We start from the raw sequence: 9,575 nt of genomic DNA, 5'->3' as shown, positions 1-9,575 counted from the left end.
GCCAGCCCAGTGGGGAGTCTTTGCACCAGAGTTGCCCATTGAAGGTGTCCCCATTCTTGGTGGGAGCAGCTGGGGAGAAGCAGGGCCTCTCTTTACATGAAAGTGATGGTAAATCCAGGGTGATGGCGCTGGGGCTGCCAGTCGGTCACACTCTCCGTGGCAAGAGATCTGAGAGGCTGGTTTTCATAGCTGAGGCCCAGCCAATGGAATGTGCAGAGGACTGATGTGCACCCCTTCTGAGCCTGGCCCATGCAACTTCCCACGGGTGGTCCTCATGCTCATTCTGCCTCCTCTGCCAGATGCGGGCAAGGTGGGGAACTTAGAAGCTTGTGTGTTGAAGAACCAGAGATAGAAGGAGTTGGACCCACTGCATGAAGAACAGCTACCCACTCACCAGAAACAGCTTCTATTGTGTTCAGCCATTGAGACTGAGGGCCTTTCTATTACAGCAGCTAAGCATTAGCCTAACTGATATCACATATGCATAAAGCAAGTATTCCGGTTGGTCTCCGTTTTTCAGGTGAGAAAAGTAAGTCCAGACAGGTAAGTGACTTACCAAAGTAGTAGACTCGGATGTGGCACAGCTGGGATTCCAGCACAGGATTATCTGACTCTGGACACTGTTTCCCTCCTGATTGTCCAAAGACACATAAACCAACACAAAAATGCTTTTCCCACCCCTGTGCCTTCCGCAACATTGCACTGCTGCACTCTCCTCTCTTCAAGAAAAAGTGAGTTTCTAATGGGGCTTTTGGAGGGTAGGAGTCAGTGATCCAGATTAGTAAGGAAAGGGTGGCAGGTACATATGTGGGGTGGCAGAGCCTGTCCTCACTTGCTCCTCTCTTCAGTTCATGACAGCCCTACAATTACACCAGCCTCCTAGGCCATAGCCAGTATCTGAAAACCTCATGAGTATAAATTGTTCAATTATCTTGGAACACAATTAGATAATATCTATCAGTATTTTTAATGTGGGTTCTCTTTTAGCCAAGATTTCTTTTCTAAAAACTTATCCCATGGACATGTCAGCAGCAGAGTACAACAAATGTTTGTAAACAGACTTACTGCCCATTGTTTATAGCAGCAAAATACTAGATGTAACATAATGGTCGATCAATAGGGTCCGAGTTATATGAAACATTGTGTGTTCTCTTACTGACACACAGGGCATCTACTAAGAAAAATGGGGTAGTGCTGTATGGACTATATGGGAAAAGACATATTAAATGGAAAAAAGTTACAGAATATTAATATAACATTATATTAGTCCATTTCCACACTGCTATAAAAACATACCCAAGACTGGATAATTTATAAAGAAAGGAGTTTTAGGCCGGGCGCAGAGGCTCACGCCTGTAATCCCGGCACTTTGGGAGGCCGAGGCAGGTGGATCACAAGGTCAGGAGATCAAGACCATCCTGGCTAACATGGTGAAAAAATACAAAAAATTTAGCCGGGCGTGGTGGTGGGTGTCTGTAATCCCAGCTACTCGGGACGCTGAGGCAAGAGAATGGTCTGAATCTGGGAGGCAGAGCTTGCAGTGAGCCAAGATTGCGCCACTGCACTCCAGACTGTGCGACAGAGCAAGACTCCATCTCAAAAAAAAAGAGAAGGTTTGACTCACAGTTCTGCATGACTGAGGAGGCCTCAGGAAACTTACAATCATGCCAGAAGGTGAAGGAGAAGCAAGTGCCTTCTTCACAAGGTAGCAGGAAAGAGAGAGGGAGCAGGGGAAAATGCCATTTTTAAACCATCAGACTTCCTGAGAACTCCCTCACTATTAAAAAAACAACATGGGGAAAACTATGCCCGTGATCCAATCACCTCCCAGCAGGTCCCTCCTTCGACACCTAGGGACTGCAGTTCCGATTACAATTCAAAATGAGATTTGGGTGGGAACACAGAGCCAGACCATATCAAATGTGATTCCAAAAATTGTTATCTTTGCTGAAGTATGGAAAGGTGCTCATCAAACGATAAAGAGTGGTTACGGCTGAAGGGGCAGGGACCTGATATCTAGAAGAATTATCATTTCTTGTGTTATAAATAATGATGTCACCACTGTTTACAATAAGCAAGAATCACTGCTATAATCAGAATGACGTTTAAAAGTTATTTTTTAAGTCTCATAGGTAGACACCATGACCCCAAGAAGTGTAGTGAAGGAATGCAGGGGAGATAGGGAAGAAAACCTAGAAAAGTGGATAATGGTCCCCATCTCACTGGGGAACTCCTGAGACAGGAGTAAGTTAGCAACTCCTGAGACAGGTGGGACTCAGAGCGCCCCACCAAGGGTCGAGGAAGTTGGAGTGTTCCTGCAGCATCTCCTATTTCTCAGTGGTTGGGGGTTGCTCCTGGAGGTCTTAGCAACATGCCAGCCTGACCCCCAGAGTCTGAACAGATGCCAGAAAGAACCCTTGTGCTGGGTGCTCCAACTAGGAAGCCATTGTCTGTGCAATTGTCTACAGAGGCAGTAGGTGACCTCTGGCGTGGACACTGAGGACATGTGCCTTTGCAACAGCTTTCTTGTCCTGCATTCTACCATGCCTGTCCCACACAGTGCTTAACCCATGCTGGTGACCCAGGAAACATGACGTGAGTCCAACTAAATATATATCAGATATATACATATAATATAGAGACACTTCAACTAGACTAGGAACTCCCCTCTGCCCCTCAAATATGAGGAGGCTTTTCTTTAATCCTTTCTCTCAAGTCTCAATAACATCCAGGACTCCAAAACAAAGACATAATAATAATAATATAATTGAAAAAGCCAATGACCACGTTTGGGGAGCTGCTATGTTCTGAATACTTTACATATAGAAGTGAATCCAGTCCTTCCAGCCTGACTGTGAGGTTCACACTGTCAGTAGTGGCTGTGGTCTTGCCTATCAGTCACACCTGACAGGCAGGCTGAGCATGCATGTAGGGTCCGAGCGGAGCAGGATCCAGGATCACTGAGAATTAGAGAGGAAAATTAAAGCATTTGATAGATGCTCTTTCAAAAGTCATTGAAGTAGGCCTTTGGGGAAAACACAGGCCCTTGCTGAACCCCCTGACACTTTACATATTAGTTTTGTGCTGAATTGCATTCCTGTGTGTTTTAAGGCACCCACTATTCTCAGAGCTGGGCCTCTAAAGATCTATACAGGGCAGTTGTTGGCCCACTTCTTACTCCAGCCATGGCTGTGGTGGGTGGTCAGTCCCATACAGCAGGGGTCCCCAACCCCTGGGCCAGGGACCAGTACCAGTCCATGGCCTGTTAGGAACTGAGGGTCGGTCGCACAGTAGGAGGTGAGTGGTAGGCTAGCAAGCAAAGCTTCACTGTATTTGCAGACACTCCCCATTGCTTGCATTACCACTTGAGCTCCACCTCCTGTCAGATCAGCTGCAGCAGGAGATTCTCATAGAAGCATAAACCCTATTGTGAATTGCACTTGCGAGGTATCTAGTTTGCATGCTCCTTATGAGAATCTAATGCCTGATGATCTGTCACTGTCTCCTATCACCCCCAGATGGGACTGTCTAGTTGCAGGAAAATAAGCTCAGGGCTCCCACTGATTCTACATTATGGTGAGTTGTATAATTATTTCATTATATATTACAATGTAACAATAATAGAAATAAAGTGCACAATGAATGTAATGGGCTTGAATCATCCCCAAACCATCCCCCATTCCCAGTCCATGGAAAAATTGTCTTCCATGAAACTGGTCTCTGGTGCTTAAAGCTTGGGGACCACTATCACCATATGGGCTTTGACCAGCTTCTTGGAGCCACAGGTAGACACCCTCTTGCATTGACTCCACCATATTCCTCTTTCTTCCTGTCCTGGGGCTTCTCTGACACCATAAGACTTTTCAGGCCTGTAGAAACCCACTCAACATTCACTGGTGCACCCCAAGAATATAAGGGGGTTAATGCCTAGGGGACTGCGTTGACCAACAGGGGTGGAAACTGATGGGAAAACGCTTCTGCTTTCATCTCCTGGGTGGGCAGTCCTGAGATGCATTTCTGCCAGCACCTCCTGCCCATGCCCCGGCACTCCCGCCCCAGCCTGCACTCCTGGTCCCTGGGATTTTCCCAAATAAACTACCTGAGCAGCAGCCTTTGCCTTGGCATTTGCTTTTGAAGGAGTCCAGGCTAAAACAAGGTTTTGATCAGAAATCATCAGAGTTCTAGATGGGCCAGAGGTCTGAACTAAGGTTTTTAAGTAAGAAATAGAAATAGCTTGGCAGAGAGAAATGGGATAAGGAACCTTGGAAAGACAGGGAGAAAAAATAAGCTGAAAGAGAGAGAAAGAAGAGGAGAAAGAAAAAAAAAACCTCAATTTCCCAGTGAGCTCACTGCTTGCCTCTCTTTCGAAGTTCCAAATTGCCTCCACTTTCTCAGAATTCCAATCAGGGCTCCTTCAGAGGAAGCAATTTCTGCCAGCACATGGTCTCCCACCTGCTGACCCAGGAGAAGAGCTCACAACTTTAGCTAAAAGAGCCCCAGCAGACATTAGCAAGTCAGCTAGCAAAAGGATCCACAAGAAATGGTGCAGTTATCTCCACCTGCCCCTAATGAGAAGGTGGCCGGGCCATCTGCTGGAAGCTCCATGACAGGGGAAGAGGGAATCAGGGCTCCACAGCAACACACACGCACGAACCAATGGGGCTGCACCAAAGACACGGGATTCCCCTTTCCCGCAACACTGCACAGACAATTATAAATTAAGACGTTTCCCCCACATTTTCAAAATTAATCAATTTCAAAGACCTCCTGGCTGCCTAAGCCACCAGCTCTATCTGACTCCCTCACATTCACCTTCTTCTCAGGGTGGGAGTGAGGACAGGTCTTGGTCATTCACCCCCCACTCCCAGAAGGAGGCAGTGGTCACTGCTATCGTCACTGCACCACAAGGTCAGGGCATAAGCAAGAGATGGAGCTGCTGACTGGGGCAACCATAGTCCCCAGAAAAGCAACAAAAGGACTTCAGGGAAACTGAGTCCCGTTGCCTCTCTTTCCTGGGGCAGAAAGAAGGGAACTCTTTTTTTCCATTTTTTTCTTTTATTGACAAGGTCTCACTCTGTCGCCCAGACTGGAGTTCAGTGGCATGATCACAGCTCACTGCAGCCTCGACCTCATCGGCTCAAGCCATCCTCCTATCTCAGCCTCCCAAGTAGATGGGACTACTACAGGCATGGGCACCACCACAATATTTTTACTGTGGTAGAATACACATAACATAAAATTTATCATCTTCATCATTTTTCAGTGTACAGTTTAACAATATTAAGTCCATTCACATTGTGCAGCTGTCACCACCATCTATCTCCGGAACGTTTTCATCATCCCAAACTAATGAGCGCTAACTCCCCATGCCCCTCTCCTCTAAGGTCCTGGTGGTCACCATTCTGCTTTCTGTCTCTATGAGTTTGACTACTCTGAGAAACCTCATATAAGTGGAATTACGCCGTATGCGTTCTTTTCCATCTGGCTTATTCCACTTAGCATCCATCCATGTTGCAGCAAGTGTCAGAATGTTCTTCCTTTTTTAAGGCTAAATAGTATTGCATTGTGTGGAATATCTCATTTTGTGTATCCACTCATCTGTTGAGGGACCCCTGGGTTGCGTCCACTTTTTAGCGACTATGAATCATGCTGCTATAAACATGGTTGTGCAAATGTCCCTTTGAGATTCTACTTTCAGTTTTTTCAGGTCTATACGGAAGAAACATTTTTGTAACTTCAAGTGACCCCACCGCAAGCCTGAGAGAAGGAGGCAGGACAGTAGTTACGGACGCAGATTTTACAGTCAAACAGAACTGATTCTACCTCTTACTCTGCATAGAACAAAATAACTAACACCTGTTGGGCACTTAGCATATGCCAAATGTTCTTCTAACCTCTTCTACTTATGTTAGTAGCAGAGGTTAATCCTCACAACAATTCTAGAAGATAGGTACTATTATTAATCTTATTTTACAGAGGAAGAAAGTCCATAAAAGTTAAACAGTTTACCTGGATTCGAGTAAGTGGTAGAACCAAGATTTGAATTCAGACAGTCTGGTTCCAGTGCCCATATGATGATAACAATCATGATAATGATAATGACAGTAACAACAAATGAAGAGGAGGAGGAGGAAAACAGACACTTATTAGCACTTAATCCAAATCAGGCCCTGTTAGAGCATCTAAATGAATTAACTCATTTAAATCTAACTCCTCTCTCAATTAACTCATTTAAACCTAAATACTCTCAGTTAAGTGTATTATTTTTCCTTGTTTTACTCACAAGGAAACTGACTCTCCAAATGGCTCCATACCATGTCCAAAGTCACATGGCGACCAAGAAAAGGATCCAAGATCTGAACCCGGATCCTCTGTTAGCCAAGTCCCCCTTTGTTCACTTCATCAGCCGTCTCTGCTTGAATTTCTCTGTATAGAGTGAGGAAAGGCTTGGAGGCAAACAGCATTCATGCTCTCCACTCTTCTACTGTATTTTTTTGGCCAGAGCAGACGTTCCAGGGACCTCTGGCAGAGAGACAATAAAGTGTGACATGTGGGAAGGAGGAAGGAGGCAGTAGAAGCACCACGCAGGCTGGAGATGAGGAACAGATTTAGGGGCAACCACAGAATGCAGGAAAAGGAAAGAAGAGAGGGATTTGGGGAAGTGTCTCTCTGAATCACAAATGGATCTACATAAAGTGCTTTCAAAGTCAGGAGTAAAGATTAGAATCTTTTTAAAATGAGCCTGGTGCAGTGGCAGCTCACACCTGTAATCCTACCACTTTAGGAGGCCAAGGTGGGAAGACCACTTGAGGCCAGGAGTTCAAGGCCAACCTGGGCAACATAAGGAAACCCCATCTCTACAAAAAAATTAAAAGTTACCCGAGCATAGCGGCGTGCACATAGACCCAGGTACTCAGAAGGCTGAGGTAGGAAGATCCCTTGAGCCCAGGAGTTGAGGCTGCCATGAGTGGTGATCATGCCACTGAACTCCAGCCTGGGTGACAGAGTGAGACCCTGTTTCAAAAACAATAAAATTATATCTTTTACTTTGGACTCTATTTTCTCTAAATACTACATGGAGGTAATACTGGGCCACATAGGACCCCAAGTTATATTTGGGTTAAACCAGTTGAACAAGATTTGTTGCACACTGTCTATGCGCCAGGCATTGGTTTATGGCAATATCAGAATCAGAGATGTTCCTGTATCAGGGCTGCCCCTGCACAGACCAAGAAGCCCATCAGAGGGGCAGGCTGACAACAGGAAATGGGACTGATTAGAGATACTTGTGGTTTTGAGGGTATTATCATTTCTTTCTATTTTTCTTTTGCTTTTTCTTTTTTTTTTTTTTTTTTTTTTTTGAGATGGAGTCTCGCTCTGTTGCCCAGGCTGGAGTACAGTGGTGCCATCTCAGCTCTTTGCATCCTCTGTCTCCCGGGTTCAAGCGATTCTCGTGCCTCAGCCTCTTGAGTGGCTGGGACTACAGGTGTGCACCATCACGCCCAGCTAATTTTTGTATTTCTTTTAGAGACAGGGTTTTTCTTTTAGAGACAGGGTTTTGCCATGTTGGCCAGGCTGGTCTCAAACTCCTGGCCTCAAGTGATCTGCCCGCCTTGGCGTCCCAAAGTGCTGGGATTACAGGCGTGAGTTACCATACCCAGCCTTCTTTCTATTTTTCTTTTTACAAACCTTGTGACCTTCTTTTGGTGTGGGTGTCTGTCCTCTGGGCCTCTCCTCTGCCCTCATCAATTCCACGGGGACTGGTTCTCTCTCCCTCCTTGTCCAACCCCTTCACACTCCTGTTGTCCTTCCACTGTGCTGTTCCAATCCTGATGGAAAGTGCAGCGTCAGCCCCTTCTCAGGGTGTGGCAAGGAGTCTTGCATCACAGTCCAGGCTTCCCTGGCCCACTGCAGACCTCTGGGCTCCCAAGTTGCCCCCAGAAGAGACTCATGCTTCTGATCAGTCCATGGTAGCCATGCAACAAAATGACTGCTGGTTGCCTCCAAATTCCACTCTCTCTCTTCTTATCTTTCCTCTTACCAAGTGCTCTCCAATCTTTCAAAAAATGTTTTTATTTTCTAATAGCACACATTGTTTTTCTCTGAATTAAAAATATTTACATTTACATCAGACAAAAATTGGAAAGTACAGAAAAGGACAAAGAAAATTCCCATCACTCAAACCTCTCTGCCCAGGAATCATCATCATTAGCACCATCCTGGGCGTGCAACCCTGCAAGAATCCCCATTTTACAGATGTGGAAACTGGCATGCAGAGGGGTAAGTTACTTCCCAAGTGTCACTGGCATAGAAAGGGGCAGGGCCAGGATCCAGGCCAGTCTGATTCCAAAGCCCCTGCTCTGCACATCTCTATACCCTCATCCTTTCCTGTCTCTCCAGGGCTCCAACCACTGGGGCCTGGTTTCTTGTGTGGCACAGATAGAGCAGGTACAGAGAGGCAGGCTGAAGCCTCCATCTGGCAGGGCTGTCCATCAAAACAGCAACTGGGTATGTGCCCTCAGCTCATGGGAACACACCCTTACTCTGGATGACCATTCACCAAAGAGGTATGAGACACTCTCCCTTGTCTTCACCCACAGAGCACCTCCTACCCAGGCCTCATGGCAACACGAGAAAAAGCCATTTCCCAATGGCCGATACTGTTTATACATTTGTCTTCTCCCAGTCTCAGCTCCCTTAGAGGCAGAGAGCAAGTCTAGGGAAAAGACTCTGGAAACTTGTAAAGACAGGTGGCTATGAGGCTCTGCCTTCTCCCTTTTGCAGAATTTAGAAAAGTACCTCAGCACTCACCACAGCAGCCATCTTGGCCATTGCAGGTCATAAGCAAATGACTCCGAAGGCACCAGGCACACATCCTTCCACAAAAGCACTCTGCTGGCTGGGGTGTCATGGCCAGGCTGCTCTGAACACTGCCAGGTGCCCTGACACAATCTTCTATTTCTCCTGGGGACAGGCACTCCCTGGGCTACCCAGAGTGACCGCATGCTTCCCACAACAATTTTACATTAAGGAGCTTATTTATGAGGACCTTAGGGAGATATATATATGACTTGCATATATATTTAGAAAGAGAGATGGGCAGAGACAGAAAGAGACAGAGACAAAGAAACAGAGAACGTAAATACATACACACATGCACACACATAAACGACCCCTATCTGTGTCTATGAAACGTCATTACTATGATGTCTTGTTTGGTGCCTGTTTGCCCTGCTTCATGGTGAACTCTGTGAGGGCAGACACAGTGTGAGGGCAGACACAGTGTGAGGACAGACACAGTGTGTGGACCGCCCTTTGCTGCAGCCTCAGCCTCCAGCCCAGAGATCGCACAGAGTCATGCGAGAACGAGGGAGCCTTCAACGTGCCTTGTCTCCATGCACTCTCCTCCCCTCCCCAATGCTCCAATCATTTTGTCTTTGCCTCACCACAGTCAACATTCTGCTCAGTCTCCCATCAACATACACCACAAATCCTGCTGACCACAGCTAGCCTGGTTCCTGCCTTTAGGGAACTTACAGTCCCCAAAGCTGGGGACTAGCTAGAAAGACAGAATT

The sequence above is a fragment of the Homo sapiens genome, chromosome 16 (assembly GCF_000001405.40).
Source record: "Homo sapiens chromosome 16, GRCh38.p14 Primary Assembly".
Classification (NCBI taxonomy): domain Eukaryota; kingdom Metazoa; phylum Chordata; class Mammalia; order Primates; family Hominidae; genus Homo; species Homo sapiens.
The sequence above is the reverse complement of the archived record's forward strand: the minus strand, read 5'-3'. Positions refer to the sequence as shown.